We start from the raw sequence: 20,210 nt of genomic DNA, 5'->3' as shown, positions 1-20,210 counted from the left end.
CTGGGGAGAGCCTAGAAGCATTGAAAACCCAGAAGCAATGAGTACACATAGTTCCGAGATCCTAGTTTTCAAATACCTTCCCCAATAAAAGGAAACAAGGATCTTTGGAGAAATGGTTGACTTCAAGGCTGGGACACAGACAAGACAAGATAAGCCTGGAACATCTTTGGCACAGAAAGTATCTGGAAATGCTCACAATAAGAGAGGAGGTTTGCCATAAAAGACACAGAAGCCAATCTGAAGGAGCTCCCACAGGCTAAAGGTGGATCAATTTGAGCAATAAAATAGATATCGATGGTATTAGATTGTAACCTTTAGAATAAAATATCTATAAATCTGTACTAAGAAAATAATTGAATGAATGGAAGGATAAATAAAGGAGAAGAGACAGCTTTTCTTTACAGAAGAATTCGAATTATTAAATGTAGATGGAATGAGGGAAATAGAAAGTCACTATTAGACAAACACTACAGTAATATTTGCTGCAGGCAAGATCCATAATGGATGCTAAAGTTAGTGAGCAGAAGCTTATTTTGAAACTGACTATTTTTATAGTCACAAAGTATCTTCCACAAGATATTTATGAATTCCAAAGGGATAAATAGTAATATTACGGTTGATGAACCTGGCAGACGCTACTTTAATCAAGGGATTAAGGTTAAGATCAAAATTAATAAGACATACCATGTCTCGGATATGAAATTATGGGTGGAAATGATCAGCTGAGACTGGAACAACTGCTGTGACATTTTGCAAAAAATGTATGTCGTCAATCGAGTCATGAGAAAACATCAGATAGACCCAAATTGAGGTACATTCCACAAAATAATTGACCATTACTCTTCAAAAATGCCACCATCATGAAAGACAAGAAAAGACTGAGGAACTGCCATAGTTTGGAGGTAACTAAGGAGATGTGACAACGAAATGCAGTGCTGGGGTCCTGGATGGGATCCTGGGTTAGAAAAAAGATACTGATTGAAAAACTGGTGAAATTCAAGTAAGGCCTGGAGTTTAGTCAATAGTGTATCAACATTAAATTCCTGGATTCAATCATTGTACTATGGTTACATAAGATGTTAACATTAGCGGATGCTGGGTGAGGGGTATTTGGGAAACTTGTACTAGTTTTGCAATTTTTCTGTTACATAAATAACTCCCCCACCCACAAGTTTAAAAGATACAGATTAGATTATAGAGGAAAAAAACTAAGTCTGAGATTTGCTTCAAATATTGTCAATAATTTTTGAAGCAAGGTGATGGGTACATCAAGGCTTTGTAGTGTTCTTTCCAGATTTATGTATATCAGACAATTTCCTTTAGAAAAGTAGAAATTACATATACGTGTATTAAGCCCTTTCTATGTCCAGGCACTGTGGTTAGCCACGGGGACTTGGTTAACCACCAGGACTTGAGGCCCTGCCTCAAGGAGCTCATACTCAACAGGGGGAAAGCAGACATGATGCACGGAATGTAGAAAGAGTGATGTGATAGAGGAAGCACAGGATGCCTTGGAGCAGGGGAGAAAAGAGTGCTCCAAATAGGAGAAACAGCATGCAGAGCCTTGGGCTAGGGAGAAAGGCTAACTGGTAAGTCACAGAGAAAAATCTGCAAATGACCTCGGGGAATGCAGCTGAGGTCTTTTGTCTGCCCAGGGCAAGGACAACTCAGCCAGATTCTTTGGGCCTATAAAATTTTGTGACATTATTTGTAATTTAGTCTTTTTAAACAAATTTAGAAGGCAATCTCCCTATGCTCTTTATCAAGTCCCCTTTCCTGACATCTCCTATGACTCTCCTATGACACTTTCCTCCTCTCCCCACAATGTTTTCTCATCTGTCATAAATCTGCAGCCTATTTAACAAGATCCTCCTTAAGCAGTGTTCACAGGATACTTGGTCCCCAGTGACCTTCTGAGGCAGCCAAATAGATATGAAATCTTTTTGTGCATTTATGGATAGCCTTGAAATTAATTGCTGTCATTTTCTTCCTAGCAGATCATGGAACTCTGGAGACTAAAGTGGTGTGGGAGTGGCTGCTCCCAACTAGACTCCACCCCCTTCAGAAGGCAGGAGTTGTCATAGTATTAAAACAGCTAACATACACATCAGGAGGTGGCCTTGAGAAGCTGAGCGGAGACCGGCTAGACTTTACTCAAGTTAGTATTGACCTTAAACATCTTCATAAATGTTCTCATGTCTACTTCACTAAGAAAAACAAATTTAAATGTGTTAGTTTGTGTGAGTACTTTATGTTCTTGCTGTTTTTCTGTGTGCTTAGGAGACAATTTAAGCATTGTTTGTTAGTTCCTGAAGGACAGGTCGGTAAAGAAAAATAATATTCAACAATTTAGAAAACAAGGGCAAAGAATTTGATGATATGAGAAAAGTAAGAGTGGTATCATTGTGGGCAATCTGAAAATACAACCACATCAGTGCCAGGCCACATGCCAAAGGTTGCTTATGGAAAAGCTGTTTATTAAAAACATGTATTCGTGTGATTCATTCCTGTGATTCACAGGAGTCAACACACAATTATACTAGATTTAAAGCTGGCAGGGTCACACATTTGGGAGCACCACTTGATCAATGAAAAGAAAATACATCTGGATGGTCGTATTCCTCTAGAGCTGGCACTTCCAAATGGGAAACCAATCACCAATGCTTGACAATCAGGATCTAAATTTACACTTCCATCATTGATTTTACACAGATTAGTTTACTGCTTATATAAGTGACTTTGTGATTGAGCACCAAGCAGCATGCTATTTTTCCTTCTTCTTCTCCTCCTTCTTCCCTCCTTCTCTTTGTTCTCTTTGCCCTCTTTCTTCTTCCTCCTCCTCTTTTTCCTCTTCTGCCTCTTCTTCCTCCTCCTCCTTCTTGTTCGAAGTATCTGGGACCAAAGGGTGAGCAGGGTTTAAAGTCTCAAAATTGCAAGTGAATCTAAATATATAGGACTTTTAGGGTAGTAGGCAAGTAGATCTAAGAATAATAATAACCCCCTCTTAAGCTGTTATATTCCCTGTCCAACAGAACATGCACATTCCTTCTATATGCAAGTTCTTTCTATTTGCCAAATGAAATATTACCCTGGGCTACCCTGCCAAAGCACTTATCCAATTAAAAAAAAATATTTTTTGTGTAGTCACGATGTTTCTACTATGTGGGAGAGTTTGGTTGCTTTGATAATTCTTTTTAAACAGCAGATTGGTGGGTTTCATAATTAGGATTGGTTATTTTATTGCCATAATCCTAGCTTGGCTTTTTTCATGCTTTTTGTTTGTTTTGAGACAGTCTCATTCTGTCACCCAGGCTGGAATGCAGTGATGTGGCCATGTTTCACTGCAGCCTTAACATCTTGGGCTCAAGTGATCTTCCTGCCTCAGCCTCCTGGGTATCTGGGACTACAGGTGTGGGACACCAATCCTGGCTAATTTTTTTTTTAAATAGAGACTTTATTTAATTGCCCAGGCCAGTCCTGAACTCCTGAGCTCAAGCAATCTTCCCTCCTCAGCCTTCCGAAGTGCTGGGATTATAAGTATGAGCCACCATGCCCAGCCCTAGTTTGTTTTTTAATTACTCTATGCTACTGTAGTCTAAAACAGTGAGCGCTATAGGCAAATGGCAAAAAAAAAAAAAAAAAGATTGCTCTTGAGATATCTAGCCATGTTATATCCTATAAAGCACGGACTGAACTTTGAGCAATGCACTACACTGTGCTTAAAGACTATGACAACTTCTCTGCTTCCCGGGAGCTCACAGTTTGAGGGGTGGGGGACATAAAAATGGTAACTTCTTTTTTTTTTAATTTATTTATTTATTATTATTATACTTTAAGTTGTAGGGTACATGTGCACAATGTGCAGGTTCGTTACATATGCATACATGTGCCATGCTGGTGTGCTGCACCCACCAACTCATCATCCAGCACTAGGTATATCTCCCAATGCTATCCCTCCCCCCTCCCCCCACCCCACAACAGTCCCCAGAGTGTGATATTCCCCTTCCTGTGTCCAAGTGTTCTCATTGTTCAATTCCCACCTATGAGTGAGAACATGCGGTGTTTGGTTTTTTTGTCCTTGCGATAGTTTGCTGAGAATGATAGTTTCCAGCTTCATCCATGTCCCTACAAAGGACATGAACTCATCATTTTTTATGGCTGCATAGTATTCCATGGTGTATATGTGCCACATTTTCTTAATCCAGTCTGTCATTGTTGGACATTTGGGTTGGTTCCAAGTCTTTGCTATTGTGAATAGTGCCACAATAAACATACGTGTGCATGTGTCTTTATAGCAGCATGATTTATAGTCCTTTCGGTATATACCCAGTAATGGGATGGCTGGGTCAAATGGTATTTCTAGTTCTAGATCCCTGAGGAATCGCCACACTGACTTCCACAATGGTTGAACTAGTTTACAGTCCCACCAACAGTGTAAAAGTGTTCCTATTTCTCCACATCCTCTCCAGCACCTGTTGTTTCCTGACTTTTTAATGATTGCCATTCTAACTGGTGTGAGATGGTATCTCATTGTGGTTTTGATTTGCATTTCTCTGATGGCCAGTGATGGTGAGCATTTTTTCATGTCATAAATGCTCTTAATGGCTGCATAAATGTCTTCTTTTGAGAAGTGTCTGTTCATGTCCTTCGCCCACTTTTTGATGGGGTTGTTTGTTTTTTTCTTGTAAATTTGTTTGAGTTCATTGTAGATTCTGGATATTAGCCTTTTGTCAGATAAGTAGGTTGCGAAAATTTTCTCCCATTTTGTAGGTTGCCTGTTCACTCTGATGGTAGTTTCTTTTGCTGTGCAGAAGCTCTTTAGTTTAATTAGATCCCATTTGTCAATTTTGGCTTTTGTTGCCATTGCTTTTGGTGTTTTAGACATGAAGTCCTTGCCCATGCCTATGTCCTGAGTGGTATTGCCTAGGTTTTCTTCTAGGGTTTTTATGGTTTTAGGTCTAACGTTTAAGTCTTTAATCCATCTTGAATTGATTTTTGTATAAGGTGTAAGGAAGGGATCCAGTTTCAGCTTTCTACATATGGCTAGCCAGTTTTCCCAGCACCATTTATTAAATAGGGAATCCTTTCCCCATTGCTTGTTTTTGTCAGGTTTGTCAAAGATCAGATAGTTGTAGATATGCGGCGTTATTTCTAAGGGCTCTGTTCTGTTCCATTGATCTATATCTCTGTTTTGGTACCAGTACCATGCTGTTTTGGTTACTGTAGCCTTGTAGTATAGTTTGAAGTGAGATAGTGTGATGCCTCCAGCTTTGTTCTTTTGGCTTAGGATTGACTTGATGATGCGGGCTCTTTTTTGTTCCATATGAACTTTAAAGAAGTTTTTTCCAATTCTGTGAAGAAAGTCATTGGTAGCTAAAAATGGTAACGTCTGCAGGCTGTAAATAGTCAATAATGAGGCATAACAGGAAGAAACTAGTCTGAATGTCAGAAGACCTAGGTTCTAATCCAGACTTTGACACTAACTAGCTAGTTGGCAAATTGCACATACTTTCTTTGGGGTTCAACATATTCATTACAAACCTGGAGGAAGGGCTAGCTAGATCCCTTCTAGCTCAATAATTTGGGAACTCTTGAGGGGAGAACTAGATATATCAATAGAACATATAGTTTTTATAAGGCACATGAAGTCACCAACTAGGTTGGAACATAATGCAAGTCAGTAGTGCCTGGAATAATTACCAACATAAAAATAAATAAATGAAAACAAAGGTCTTACACAGGAAAGCCTCAGAATCTCAGAGGGACCCTGTGAAGTCACATTGGTGTTGGACCTGTCTAGTGCAAACAGAATTCAGAGGTGGAAACAATCCTGCTATGAGGAAGGAAGACACTCCTGTTGTTCAACCATTCATATACTAGCGTGCATTTTGCTTCTCTAGACTCATTCATTCATCCATTCATGCATTCATTCATTCATTTTAGAGAAACCAAGAGACTGTTACCATGGCAGGGAAGCCCAAGCTTCACTACTTCAATGGACGGGGCAGAATGGAGCCCATCCGGTGGCTCTTGGCTGCAGCTGGAGTGGAGGTATGTTCTAAGTTAGGTCATCTTAAGTTGGACCTAATTGACTGTATCAAAATATTTTAGTAAGCCAAGAGACTTCCATACTAGATGACCTGTGAATATTTTGGCCTCAAATAAAAGCATCCCCAGTTATTTTTTTAAAATGGACAAATTTTACCAAATGAAAATTTAAAAATCTGTCCATTAAAGAGCACATGAAAAAGAACACATGAACAATTAAAATATATTTTGAAAAGAATTAACTAATCACAATGAGTGGACCTTATTTGCATTAGGATTTAAACAAACTATAAAATATAACTTATGACACATAAAAATTAGAAACCTGAATATTGATTGAATGTTAGATAATATTAAAGAATTACTGTTAAATTTTTTAGTGTCATTTTGTGATGTTAGGTATGATGTTTCTGTTATGTTTCAGAGATACACACTGAAGTATTTAGGATGAGATAATATGATACCTCAGATTTGTTTCATATTATGACAGAGGAGGAGAGAAGCTGGGCATACAAATGAAAGACAGGCTTGGGTTGGTGATTACTGCAGCTAGATGATTGAAACAAAGAGGACCATTGTATTTTATGTGTATTTTTTATATATATGAGAAATTTATACAATAAAATGCTAAGTACATGGAAACTAAATGTCATTAAACATAAACTATAAACCACAATGAGGTCAGGGAGGGAGTGGATTGTGACAAACTGCCTGTTAAATACTGAGTATATTCAGCCAGTGGTTATTTTGTTGTGCACCTATTAAGTGCCAGGTTCTGTCCTGAGGATTGGCAGTGAACAAGGTAGACACAATTCCTGCCCTAAGGCAGACTACATACATGTCTACAAGGACTCAGATAAGAAAACACGTGGTTAAAATCAGGGGTGGGGGCTTCTAGAACACCCAGGCATTCCCCAGTGTTACCAGGCCATCCTCCCAGTGTTTGAGCAGGAAATGCTGGGAGGTGTCTGTGGGACTCCGCTAAGTGCTGCCTTCTAGAGGTGTCACTGAGAAAAACACTTCCCAGTCCAGACCAGAGTCCCTCAGTAACTAACTGCCTGAGGGTTTTCCTCCAGAGTAAGTAATGGAAAAACTCAGAAGATCTTGTCCCTCGGGTGTCAGCAGAAAAGGAGGGTTTCAGGTGAGGTGGCGTCCTGTGAAAGGAACTTCTAGCGCGCCCCTTCAGCCTCACAGCGCTGTGTGGACCTGAACCTCGGGGCGGCACTTTCTCCAATGCTTCACGAGGGCTTGGGACTCACCTTTCTCAAACCTATGAGGAAATAAGCACACAAGAAATCCACACACTTCCATTCCAGGTTGTTTTCTGTGTACAAATGAATACCCTGTTTCATTGTCACCCAGACATCAGCTCTGCAGCTCAGTGCCTTTCCTCCAGTGACGTTCCCTCCCTAATCATGGACATTTGTGAGATCGTGGGGAGGTGAAGTAAAAGACGGAGCAGGCCAGGAGCAGTGGGTCACACCTTTAATCCCAGCACTTTGGGAGGCCGATAGGGGAGGATTGCTTGAGCCCAGGAGTTCAAGATGAGTCTAGGCAACACAGCGAGACCCCAGCACTACAAAATAGAAATAAAAAATTAGCTGGATGTGATGGTGCATGCCTATAGTCCCAGCTACTCAGGTGGCTGAGGTGGGAGGGTCACTTGGGCCTGGTAGATCAAGGCTGCAATGAGCCATGATCATACCACTGTACTTAAGCCTGGGCGACAAAGTGAGACTCTGTCTCAAAAAAATAAATAAATAAATAAAATAAAAAAGAAGATTGAGCAGTTCTGACCCATTGTCAGACCCATGAGCATGAGCATGGTCTGACCCATGCCTGTTTCTTGAGGGATAAAATCTAAATTTCCAAGCGGCCATGACCAGCTTCTTCTGTGTCCCCTGCCAAACTCAGAAATCTTATGTTCTCCAAATTATGTACCAGATGGAGGCCATTCAAGGTCACAAGTCTGTAATGCTATGGAACGAACTAACAAGAACCCATTTACTGTTTCTGCTTCCAGTTTGAAGAGAAATTTATAGGATCTGCAGAAGATTTGGGAAAGTTAAGAAATGGTAAGATCAAGTCTCTAAGTGCCTCTGATGAGGGTATCTAGTAGAGAAGGTACCGCTGAAGATTGATTTTTTTTTTTTTTTGACGGAGTCTCGCTGTGTTGCCCAGGCTGGAGTGCAGTGGCATGATCTCGGCTTACTGCAAGCTCCGCCTCCCAGGTTCATGCCATTCTCCTGCCTCAGCCTCCCGAGTAGCTGGGACTACAGGCGCCAGACACCACACCAGGCTAGTTTTTTTTTTTTTTTTGTATTTTTAGTAGAGACGGGGTTTCATCGTGTTAGCCAGGATGGTCTCGATCTCCTGACCTCGTGATCCGCCCGCCTCGGCCTCCCAAAGTGCTGGGATTACAGGTGTGAGCCACCGTGCCCGGCCACAGTTGAAGATTTTAACACCAGGCGATGCCTATGTGTGTGTGGGGTGGTAGCTGTGGTGGTGGAGAGGGAGAAGGTGGTTAAAGTGGAAGGGATGTGGCTCCCTGAACAGGTCTGGCAACTATCTCCAGGCTAAAAGGCCAGACCTCTCAGAGTATCTGCTAGAGGAACCATCCCCAGTGCCCTGAGAATGCCCTTTCCTTGTTTTCATGCTTGGGGCACCGTGAATGAGCTGAGGTCATCAGCTCAGGATCCCACACAGCCTTCCCCATCCAAGGACACACAAGAACATGAATAAGACGAAAAGAATAGAAATAGATGTGGCCATTACCTTGAGTTGTTTTCTTTCATGGGTCATGTGATAAGGTCATATTGTAGTAATACTGTAGGCTTGGAAGAACACAGAAAGGGACCTCTGCATAAAATTGTGTCTCAGAACCTACTTTAAAGGCCATGAACACCATGAGACTTACCCTGAGAAGTTCTCATTTTAAGTGACATCTCTCTGGCACTCCCGTTGTAACCTGTCTCAGCTTTTTCCTAAAATATCATGACGATAAATCAACGCAAGTAAAATACAAGGGACCTACTATGTACCTGGATGGGGAATAAAAACATAAATGAAATAACAGGCTAAAAGGTCAAAGGAATCAGGTCAGAAAAAGAACTACAGGCAGCTAAAATCAAAATACTATTTCGTTTTTGAGGTTAGCAGGCAATAATTTCTTTTTCATTTTATAACCTCAGTCATTTCAACCATCATTTTTCTTCCTGAAATAGTGGGATTCATAGAAATTTCATGTTCCTTTTTTTTCCTTCTTTCTAAAGATGGGAGTTTGATGTTCCAGCAAGTACCAATGGTTGAGATTGATGGGATGAAGTTGGTACAGACCAGAGCCATTCTCAACTACATTGCCAGCAAATACAACCTCTACGGGAAAGACATAAAGGAGAGAGCCCTGTACGGTATATTTTGTGTTCTTCCATCCACAGAGAACACAGAGTGATTTAGGTCCTTCCTTGAGTGGGTGAGACCATGACAGGGCATCATGACCAGGAGCAGGCTGGGCCTTGGGCGTGTATACTGAGGTCCAGTATTGCAGAGTCCCATGGGGATGAGGAAACAGTGAACGTGAGGAGGGTTCAGGTGAGTGTGATTCTAGAAGAGGATGCATTCCATGGATCCAGCACCCTGACAGAGGTTTCCAAACACTGATGAACCATGAACTCAGGAGGATGGGGAATAATGATTCCAGGTGCTCAAGCCTTCAGAGGCTGGACTCCAGCCAACAGCTTAGGACAGGCATAGAATGTTTGAGAGTCTGTAGATGAAGGCCTGGGGAGGGAAGACTGCAAAGAAGCTGAATCTCAGGTCCCAGTAATTCCAAGAATGATGCCCAGGAACCCAAGTTACCAGCCAATTATATGGACTGGTCAACTTGAGCAGGGCTAGTAGAGGCTGGCACCCAGAACTCTGGGGTTGCCTGGAAACATGGATTCAAGGCTGAAGCAGCTAGATTTATCGAATACCAGCAAAGCCATGGGGTCTCCTCACTGTTGCAATAGGGCTGCCTGATTCTAAATAACATCCTATGTGAAACTGTTGGCAGTTCTTCAAAAAGTTTAGTGTAGAGTTACCAATGACCCAGCAATTCCTCTACTAGGTATATACCAAAAGAATCAAAATACTTCCACACCAAATCTTGTACATAAACGTACAGTGCAAATAACGGCAATTTTCATGGTATTCAAAACGTAGAAATAACCCAAATATCCATCAACCAATAAATGGAGGAACAAAGTGTGCCTTAGCCATGCAATGGAACAATATTTACTCATGAAAAGAAATGAAGTACTGATGCATGCTACAAGAAAGTTGAACCTTAAAGACATGTTATGTAAAAGAAATTAGGCACAGAAGTCCACATATTGTAGGATTGTGTGTATGAAATGTCTAGAATATTCAAACCCATAGAGGCAGCAAGTAGACTAGTGGTTGCCTGAAGCTAAAAGGTTTGGGGTTTGGGGAAAATGAATACTCAATGGGTACAGATGTCCTTATCAGGGTGATAAAAATATTCTAGAATTAGAGTGTGATGATATTTGCAGAATTCTGTAAATGTACTAAAAGTGACTGAATACTATAATTTAATGGGTGACAACGATAATGTGTGACTATACATCAATGAAACTGTTGTTTTAAAAAGTACTGTGGAAAACCTAATTAAACACAAAAGAAAAAAAGGTTTCCTAAAATATGTCCTGGTTGTAACTGTGTATAGAATTTCACCAAGGAAGGGGATCTTTTAGGTGGGGTCTCAAGTAAGGCACACATGGCTAGAGTTGGGCAATAGCACATGGATAGGGCTGTAGAATTATGTTTCATGGGAGTAATTGGAAAAACTGCTAATATTGGGCATAGAAGTGGGCCTGGGAGATGTAAATGATGAGACAGGACAAGGAACATGACTGAGATGGCTGTGCCAGGGACTCTCTTGGGATTACTTAGGAGAAAAGTCTTTGGCCATTTGACTCACACGAAGTTTATGCACAGAACAAACCACAATGGAGATGATAAATCCTGGCACAGCATCGGTGGGTACTGGCAGTGATTCCACCAATTTCTCTCATGACTGTGACTGTAGACAGGTCACCGATGCTCTTTGTACCTGTATTTGGTCATGTGCATAACAAAGATTTTAGAGATATATCTACCTCGATAAGTTGTTTTAAGAAATAAAAGGCAGCCAGGCATGGTGGCTCACCCCTATATCCTAGCACTTTGGGAGGCCAAGGCGGGTGGATCACGTGAGGTCAGGGGTTTGAGACCAGCCTGGCCAACATGGAGAAATCCTATCTCTACTAAAAATACAAAAATTATCTGGGCATATTGGCAGGCGTCTGTAATCCCAGCTACTCTGGAGGCTGAGGCAGGAGAATCACTTGAACCCTGGAGGCGAAGGTGGCAGTGAGCCAAGATTGTATAACCTCACTCTGGCTTGGGAGAATGAGGGAAACTCCATCTCAAAAAAAAAAAAAAAAGAAAAAGAAAGAAAGAAGGAAACGTCAACATACATGCAAAAATCAGAGCATAATGACTAGAATATAAAAGGCACCCAATGGAGATGAATTACCTTACCACCATCTGACCCTCTATTCTCTTAGGTTTTTATAAACCTACAAAATCTAAGGCAAGAGGCATTTGATGCTTTGGCTGTTTTTGTCTTTCAGAATTGATATGTATACAGAAGGTATGGCAGATTTGAATGAAATGATCCTTCTTCTGCCCTTATGTCGACCTGAGGAAAAAGATGCCAAGATTGCCTTGATCAAAGAGAAAACAAAAAGTCGCTATTTCCCTGCCTTCGAAAAAGTAGGTGAAGCTGTTCAGCATTTTGGGGCACTGAGTTTAGAGGCCAGTAGAAAAATAGTGGCTGGGCATTCCTGGGGCACTGACCTTCACTTTCAGTGAGACTTCCTGAACACCAATTCAGCTCTCTGACTCTCAAGGCATTTTATGAAAATTGACTTAGAGGAACAGTGATACCACTTATCCCCAAGTTATAATTTTCCAGCAAAATTTCAATTTACTAGACCCCAGTATAGAATTCTCTATTCAACAATTTTATGTTCATAAGTAGAACATGGGCTGTGGAAGGCTCTGAACCACACTAGAGGTTGCTGTTGAGTCTGTGGAACACAGGCTTTGTCTGAAGATGAACATGATGAAAGCGATCCATTAGAAACTATTCTGGCACCATGTGTAGGAAGACAGGAGACCAATTTCCCAACCAGAGAATATTGTAGTGTTTCAGAGATGGATATTTCTTAAAAGGATAGTGACAGTGGGGTGGAGAGGAAGATTTTTTAAAACTCATTTTAAAGTAAGTTGCAGACGTCAGTGCAGTTCACTCCTAGACACTTCAGCTTGCAGATTATAACAGCGCAGGTTAGGAGTCAGAGCCGATATTGCAAGAAAGATGATGAATTCAAGTTCACCCTGTTAGATAGGAGTTCTAAATTTCTTTTCAAAGAATTAACATGTCAGTATATTCAATTTTTTGCCTTCTACTTTTAAACTTAACTACCTCGTAAAGCAATCTTTTTCGATTACCTACTCCACCCTGACTCATTCCGATCACCTGCTCCACCCTAACTCATTCCGATCACCTGCTCCACCCTGACCCATTCCGATTACCTGCTCTACCCTAACTCATTCCGATTACCTGCTCTACCCTGACTCATTCTGATTACCTGCTCTACCCAAACTCATTCCGATTACCTTCTCCTCCTAACTCATTCCGATTGCCGGCTACCTGCTCTGCCCTGACTCCTGCCAAAGCACTCACCCCGTCATTCTCTTTAAATTAGCCAATCAGAATTAGTTTAGCCAGTGCAGTCTAACCCTAGCCAATAGGGGAACGACACAGCAGCAGGGGGAAAGACACAGCAGCAGGGGCCACGTGCGTCAGGGATAAGAAACCCTTCCCCTCCTTTGTCCAAGTGTGCGCTCACCGTTGTTCCATCTGTGAGAGCGCACCCTTCTATATAGAAGTACCTTGCCTTGCTGAGAATTAAAAAGAAAATTTTATATTCAAGTACTATTCTTTTTGCGTCACTGAAACTTTATATATAACAACCCAGGTTTACTTCAGATCCCAGGGAGATAGAACAGGAAATGAGGAAAGCAGACAAGGCATTTTATGAAGATAGACTTGGAGGAACAATGATACCACTTATACCCAAGTTATAATTTTCCAGCAAAATTTCAATTTACTAGACCCCAATATAGAATTCTCTATTCAACAAAATTTTATGTTTTTAAGTAGAACGTGGGCTGTGGAAGGCTCTGAATCACACTAGAGGTTGCTGTTGAGTCTATGGAACATATGGAGAAATGAAGACTCTGAAATAGTCTACTCCTGGAGGAAGAGTGCTGTCATGAAGGTGGAGTCACTGCCCAAGGGAGATTGGAGAGGGAGAGAGCAGATTGTAGAGCCACATCCTGAATGTCAAGGCTACACGCTGTAGGGCCTGGGGCAGACAGAACATGCAGTAGCAGGTGCTAAACCCCTGGCCCATGTGGAAAATGCAAGCAGGTGGATGGTGTGGATGCCACAGTGATGTGGAATGAGAAGAGAAAATGGGAGCCTGAGCTCCAACTGAGGAGTGAGCAGAGCCACATTCTTGCTCCCTCACTCAATCAGGGAACATAAACAAAGGCCTGGACCTTCACACCATCCAGTTAGGCAACACAGGTGGGAATGTCAGGCTGGAAAGACTCAGGGAGAAGCAGGGGTCCCATCCTGGGTGCGCATGTATTCCTGATCTGATTCCTCAAATTCTCCAGGTGTTACAGAGCCATGGACAAGACTACCTTGTTGGCAACAAGCTGAGCCGGGCTGACATTAGCCTGGTGGAACTTCTCTACTATGTGGAAGAGCTTGACTCCAGCCTTATCTCCAACTTCCCTCTGCTGAAGGTGACCCATTTCACAGCCCTCAGAGAGACAGCCCCACATGTCCCATCTTGGGATCTAGTATCTGGGCCCTTGGACTGGCCATGTTCTGACCCCAGCCTTTTTCAGGCCTTCAGTACCCCCAGGTCTCCAAAATGAGCTTCCAGACCCCAATTTTGAGGCATGAAAAGACTCTTGTTCTGGAAAGGAAATTTGTGGTCATGCTACCCCATGAAAAGTATTTTGCCTTTTATCACGGAAAGGACCCAGGGCCCAGCATCTTCCTTCCTCCCCCATTCCTCTGTGGTCTGTTCCTGAGTTCTGTGATTCCCTTTATCCCAAGACTGTCCTTGTGTTCCCACACTGAATTGGTCTGAGCAGGGCCCTTTCCATCTGGTTCCTTCCTTAGGCTCTGGCCAGGGTGGGCAGCAGGAGCTGTCAGATAGTTGTGTTCCTCTGTGCACAGCACACCCAACACACTGCCCCCAACCCTGTATCTCTCACTGAGAAAACGTGGTCCCATGGTTTGACTTTAATATTTTCTATAACATTTTCCTTTCCAACTCATTTCTCCATATTTTCACTTCTGCTTAGAGACTGACCTGTGTTGATATCTCACAGGCACATTATTTTTTCTTGTCTTATACAAGAGTCACTAATCTACAGGATTGATATGTAAGGAGAAAGATAGGGATGACTGAATTGATTAAAACTTTAAGACATCTTTGCGGAAAATAAAGTGAGCTACATGTTCTTCCTCTTATCTTCATTTATCACTGGGTGTCTGTTTCTGCCTCCATGCTGGTGCTGATGGAGGGGACTCACTTGGTCTCTGGCAGGAGGGGTCAAATTCCCTGGGTGGTATTAATGGTGGTGGCAGACCTTGGCTTCACTCTGAGGCTGTGCTTTGTGAATTACAGGCCCTGAAAACCAGAATCAGCAACCTGCCCACGGTGAAGAAGTTTCTACAGCCTGGCAGCCCAAGGAAGCCTCCCGCAGATGCAAAAGCTTTAGAAGAAGCCAGAAAGATTTTCAGGTTTTAATAAAGCAGCCATGGAGGCTAAGAACATGCAAGACCAATATTCTAAAGTTTTGCAACAATGAAGTGCTTTACTTAAGTGTTGATTGTGCCTGTTGTAAAGCTAATGAACCCTTTCCAATTATATGCTAATTAAATAATAAAAACTCCTATTTGCTAACTTAGTTAAAATTTAAGCCTTTTCATTAGGATCTGATATGAATTCAGATTTCTAATCTCCTCCTAACCTCTTTCTTGAAATTAAAAATTTAGTAAAAATGGGAAATGTAGGTTATATGGTTTGACTTTTACCAAGAATTATCCTGTAACATTTGTCATACAATCTATTAAAATGTCAATGTAGAAATGCGCTCCTGACATTTTCAGGTATGCACAGGAGAAGAGTTACCATTCTGGGTAATGGCATAAAGACATTTTCTTCTTTTCCTGGACAGTCATTTTGTTTCAGATAAAAGCGTTCTTTCTCCTGTATTTTCAAAACAATGATTCTGTCTGCTGTGGATTCCTCAGTTTTCTAGGAGGTGAGGAAATATTGAAGAGCAAACAGACCCACCCTCTGCTCTCAGGCCACCCTGTTGTCCCTTACAGTGCATGTGCTCCTGGCTCATCCTCACTCTGCTCCTTAAGGCTCTGTGGGGGCCACCGTCATGAACATTCCCTCAGTTCCCTCAGTGCCACTCAGGCCTGGGCTGCCAAGATACAGATGGTATATTTGAATTACATATAAGTAACTACTATATGCAAAATCATTTTTCCGTGGTGTGTCATTGTGCCAGAGTTCTTAGATGAGGAGTGCTTTCTAGCTCCACCCACATACTGGGCCTATAGTGTTAATCTCCCCTCGGACACCTGGGCTTCTGCAATTTGAGCTCTCCTGTTAGAATGAGCTTCCCCACAGTTGGCAGAGGTGGTTGAGGGAGCAGACAGACACAGGCTTCCTACCTGCAGCTTCACTTTGCTCTAGTCTCTTCTCCACTTACAACCAGCATAGCTTTTCTAAAATACAAATTGGAAAAAAAAATCACAGAATTCTGCAGTGAGTCCTGACTGCATATAGAAGGTATCCTCACACCCGTCCTCACTCCTTGATCTCCAGCCCAATCAACCCTCTGAGCATGGTGGAGCCTCTTGCCTTCCTGCCTGGGTGCATTTGCTAGCCCTGCCTGGCAAGCTCCTTCCCAGTGATCACAATTAAATCTACCCTATTGCTTCTCCGGAGCATTGGGCTGTCCTCTGTGCCCTCCTCAGAGCCCCAGTGAGCCTCTAAGAACACCTGAGGGCCACTGTGTCTGCTCCCCTGTGCTGTGATTACGGGTATGGGACACTTACATGAACTAGAATGCTGAAGCTTTGATGAAACTAAGGAATTATAGAATTTTAATATGATAAGAGAATAGTGTGATTATGTTTCAACAGGTAGTTCTTCCTTTCTAGAGATAAACAGTAGTATGTACAGAAGAAATGATATGCTGTCTGGAATTTGTTTCAAAAAAATCCCTTGGTAGTGGGGGGAGTAGAAGTTTGTACTGTTTTCTTGTGGCTTCTGTCACAGATTCCTACAAACATGGTGGCTTGAAACAATAGAAATTCTGAAGGCCAGAAGTCAAGTTGTGAGGTCCACATTCCCCTGGAAGCTCTAGAGAACAATCCTTTCCTGCATCCTACAGCTTCTGGGGGCTCTTGGCATTTCTGGACTTCCTTGGATCTTGGCCACATCACTCTACTTTCTGCATGGGGCTTCCAGCACCTCACCCTCTTTGTGTCTGTGTCTTCTCTGTTGTGGGTACACTTCTCACTGGATTTAGGGCCTATTTAAATATACCAGGATGGTCTCATCTCAAGTTCCTTAACTTCATCTGCAAAGAGCTTTTTTCCAAATAAGGTCACATTTACAGGATCCAGGGGTTTGGATATGGACCTATCTTCTGTGGGGGCCAACATAACCCACTGCATGGTGTAGATGAAGAAAGGCTTTTGTCAATCGGTGAATCCAGGTCATGGGTACTTTCAACTTAGTTATATTATTCTGTCTACTTTTGTATTTGCTAGAATTCTTCCATGTAAATTTAAAAACTATCTTATTTTAGGAGCTCCTACAATGACCAGGTTTTGTGCCAGACAATGAGGACTGGAATCAAACAAGAAGAAGGCTTTCCCCTCAGGAACTCAGGGTCTAGTGGGGAAGCTGATATTGAATACATCATGTCAAAACAGTGTAGGGAAAGAAGACATAGTAGAGAAAATACCATGGTAGGTGAAAGTAGTGCATTCCAGTCAGGACAATTACCATGTGCAAAGGCCCAGAGGTCAAGAAGGGCAACCTGAGTGACGCAGAGAGGAAAAAGTATGCAAATACGGTGGCTAGATTTGGCAGATAAAATACAAGACACCCAAGTAAATATGAAATTCAGATGAACAATCAATACTTTTTTTGTATAATCATGTTACCTACAGTGCTTGGGACATACTTATACTAAAAAGATATTGATTCTTTGCCTGAACTGCACATTTTCCTGGGTTCCCTGCATTTTATGTGGCAACCCAGTAATAGAAGCTTTCCATAGTGCCATCAGCCTGCCCTTCACAGACATCCCCTCCCAGCTATGCTCCCAGCAGAGATTTCTCATCTGCTTTAGTCCTTACATCCAAGTCATGAAAAGTGAGTGTCTTCAAAAAGCCAGTTTCTACTGACTTGTAAAGAGAGCAAAATCTGCTGAAATATTTTGTTAAACTTTTAATGCCAACCTTGAAAAGGAACATATTAACCAGTTACCCTGTGATAAGAGGATGACTTGCCATTTTTCTTAGAATCTAGTAGGCAGTCTTGTGGCCCTGAAACATGTGGGGGTGGCTTTTTGCTAAATTGACTGTACCTCTTTCAATGGGAAGGAGCTATGGAAAGGACCATGTAGCTTATAAACGCATTAGGACCTTAAATTAAGTTGTTGAACCACGAGCATGACAGTCTTTAACAAACTAAGCAGTGATCTTGTAAATCTTCTCATACTGCCTCATACCCTCTCATCTAGGTCACTAGAAAAATACTTTTAAATGTATCCTTAACACAATAAAAACAAATCTGTTTAATACTCACATCAATGCCTTCTTTGTGTGCTTGGATGACAGTTTGAGTTGTGCATTCAGCTGCTTTTGGATACATCGTGTCAACTCAATAAACAGAAAGAGACTCTAAAATAAAAGATATTTATTTGGGAATAAAGTTTTGTAATGGGTATGCGTGTACCATATTAAACCACGTATGTGCTTAGGGAGATAAAGGAAGACAAAGGTTTTTTAAGAAAAAAATGAAAAGCATTAAATAAATTTTTAAAATACTTATAACTCACTACAAACATCAATAACAAGGGTGACGTCAGGCCAAGTATGAACTGGCAGTTGCTGGTCAGATGTCCTTGCAGAAGTTTTTTGTATAATGTTGTGATAACCTTTGTGCAAGTTTATGTTTTTTGTAACTTTTTTTCTTATCTGACATAAAAGAATGAAAACCTTCTCTTCATGGTTTTCCAGCTCCGTTTGTCAAGGTTTTCTCAACATTAGTAACTTCATTTTTTTTCTGATAACATTCACAATCATTACAGAAATGTAAAAAGGAAGAATTTATAAAACTAGGGCATGATATATAATAATAGGAAAAAAGTTAATGATCTAAGGTAAAAAAAAAAAGTGATGGTGCCATTTTAGATAATCTGAGAATACGAGCAGTGCCAGAGGAAACATAGGTGTTTGTGCCAAAGTTGTTTTCTCTAGACAAGTAGTCAATATACAATTGTTGTGAATGAAAATTTGGCAAGATCACAGACTTGGGATTCCTGATGACCAATGAAAGGGACGTATATCTGCACAGTTCCATGTCTGCAGTTGTTTCTCCAAACCTCCATCTCCTGCTGAGGAAAGAGCCACCAATACCTAGCAAACACAATTCTAATTTACAGCTTGATGGTAGATATCACACACATTCGTGCTTCCTTCAGGAAGTGCTTTGTGATTTGTTGCCAAGTGTTGATGCCACTGACTTTTCAATATTACTTTAAGGTTGTTATGCTCCAAAGGGCAGGCAAAATCTTTTGTGAGCCACTGTGTAGAACTTGCAGGTTAATCTAAGTCTGTAGAACTTTTAGTTTTATAAAGCAAGATGACCTAGATTTATGATAAAAAAATTAAGAACAAGAATGCCCTTCTTGTAAATTTTTACATTCCTGATTCAATGATTATTTGTTAATCCTTGTCCTTTGCCCAATTGAACATTTGTCTGAAAACCCTGCTCTTTCCAAATTCCTCCTTCCTTACTCCTTCTTTTTCACTTAGTGGAACAGTCTCATTTCTTTATTAATTCTGCTTAAACTGCAGAAAATTGAGTCTGATAATCAGGATTGGTTGACCCATTGTTGTGATTCTATTATTTAATTTTTCTATGTAATTTTTTTCTATATTATTTAATTTTCACATCAAGCAAGCTCAAAAGTAGAAATTGGAGAAATCTCTGTGACCACTAAAACGTATAGCAGCACTATTCCTATTAGAATAAATTAGTCTCTGAATGTCAGGAAAACTAGAATCTAATTTAGTCTTTGCTACTAATTAGCTGGATGACAAGTCACATTCTCTCTCTGGGATTCAACCAACTCATGACAAACCTAGAAAATAGCTAAGAAAAAGTGTCTCACCCTTAGCACCCCTTGGGTTGGGGAATTATTTGTGTGCAGGGGCTGCCTTGTTCATGAGAGGGCATTTCAAGGCATCACTGGCCTCTACCTACCTGATCTTGTAGCACTACGTACCCCTAAGCTGTGAAAACCAAAAATGTCTGCAGACATTGCTGAATGGGTTAGGGGAGTAAAATCTCTCCTGGTTGAGAATCACTTGACTACATGACTTCTCAAAGTGTTAAAAGTCAAAAGTCCTGATAGGAGAACTACACAGTCATTCGAGCATACAACTAGTTTTTAAGAAGCATCTGACTAGAATGTATGATGTCATTAGAGTATAAGAGTCGACGATGGCCTGGAATAAATGTTTAATATTGAGGGGCGGGAGATGTTATAAAAGGAAGACCAGGAGTTTCAGTGAGATCCTCTTTTTGGATCCAGATCTGAGAGCTATGCAAGCTATAAAAGAATTCACAGGAAAGAAATATAGCAGCCATGTGAGAAGATACTGAAATGAGAGTTGCAAGAGATTACAGAGAGCAATGTTTAAATAC

General features: G+C 41.2%; 1 protein-coding gene and 1 long non-coding RNA gene across 13 annotated transcripts in view, besides 2 other annotated features; one reads left to right on the top strand and one right to left on the bottom strand.

The window, feature by feature from the left end:
- Positions 1,211-1,904: an enhancer, noted in NCBI's record as "H3K27ac hESC enhancer chr6:52774693-52775386 (GRCh37/hg19 assembly coordinates)". NCBI's record gives its function as "activates a minimal SCP1, AML or CMV promoter by ChIP-STARR-seq in primed H9 embryonic stem cells {active_cell/tissue: H9 hESC(primed)}" and the evidence as "EXISTENCE:reporter gene assay evidence [ECO:0000049][PMID:30033119]".
- Positions 1,905-2,597: an enhancer, noted in NCBI's record as "H3K27ac hESC enhancer chr6:52774000-52774692 (GRCh37/hg19 assembly coordinates)". NCBI's record gives its function as "activates a minimal SCP1, AML or CMV promoter by ChIP-STARR-seq in primed H9 embryonic stem cells {active_cell/tissue: H9 hESC(primed)}" and the evidence as "EXISTENCE:reporter gene assay evidence [ECO:0000049][PMID:30033119]".
- GSTA3 (glutathione S-transferase alpha 3) lies at positions 2,101-15,153 on the top strand. 7 transcript variants are annotated; one of them, XR_926166.3, is made up of 7 exons: positions 2,101-2,158; positions 5,944-6,051; positions 8,072-8,123; positions 9,321-9,453; positions 11,724-11,865; positions 13,322-13,439; positions 13,843-13,928. XR_926166.3 is itself a non-coding variant. In NM_000847.5 (7 exons), exons 2-7 carry the CDS (start codon positions 5,965-5,967, stop codon positions 14,991-14,993), a joined length of 669 nt encoding a protein of 222 aa, NP_000838.3. In that variant the 5' UTR covers positions 2,101-2,158; positions 5,944-5,964; the 3' UTR covers positions 14,994-15,153. The 7 variants fall into 7 exon arrangements, 5 of the variants coding, with proteins under 5 accessions (NP_000838.3, NP_001350471.1, XP_006715135.1 ...); XR_926167.3 differs by having other exon boundaries at positions 13,319-13,439; NM_000847.5 differs by lacking the exon at positions 13,322-13,439 and adding an exon at positions 14,871-15,153 and having other exon boundaries at positions 13,843-13,974.
- The window catches only part of LOC105375091 (uncharacterized), a 34,762-nt gene continuing 20,596 nt past the window's right edge, over positions 6,045-20,210 (bottom strand). The window contains exons 2-4 of one of the 6 annotated variants that reach the window (XR_001744160.2): positions 15,932-18,178; positions 8,966-9,032; positions 6,045-7,318 (exon numbers count right to left, since the gene is read on the bottom strand). This is a non-coding gene — a long non-coding RNA (uncharacterized LOC105375091). Of the gene's footprint in view, positions 7,319-8,426; positions 9,033-15,931; positions 18,179-20,210 lie in introns of those variants that run through there. The other 5 variants (XR_926877.2, XR_001744164.2, XR_001744159.2 and 2 more) reach the window with 5 other exon arrangements.

This window comes from Homo sapiens, chromosome 6 (assembly GCF_000001405.40).
Source record: "Homo sapiens chromosome 6, GRCh38.p14 Primary Assembly".
Classification (NCBI taxonomy): Eukaryota; Metazoa; Chordata; class Mammalia; order Primates; family Hominidae; genus Homo; species Homo sapiens.
Note: the sequence above shows the minus strand (reverse complement) of the source record. Positions and strands in the feature narration are given on the sequence as shown.

Coding starts and splice junctions, on each gene's coding strand:
- GSTA3 (NM_000847.5), top strand. CDS start 5,965: ATGGCAGGGAAGCCCAAGCTTCACTACTTCAATGGACGGGGCAGAATG. Junction 8,124..9,320: donor TTTGGGAAAGTTAAGAAATG/GTAAGATCAAGT, acceptor TTCTTTCTAAAG/ATGGGAGTTTGATGTTCCAG. Junction 11,866..13,842: donor ATTTCCCTGCCTTCGAAAAA/GTAGGTGAAGCT, acceptor CAAATTCTCCAG/GTGTTACAGAGCCATGGACA.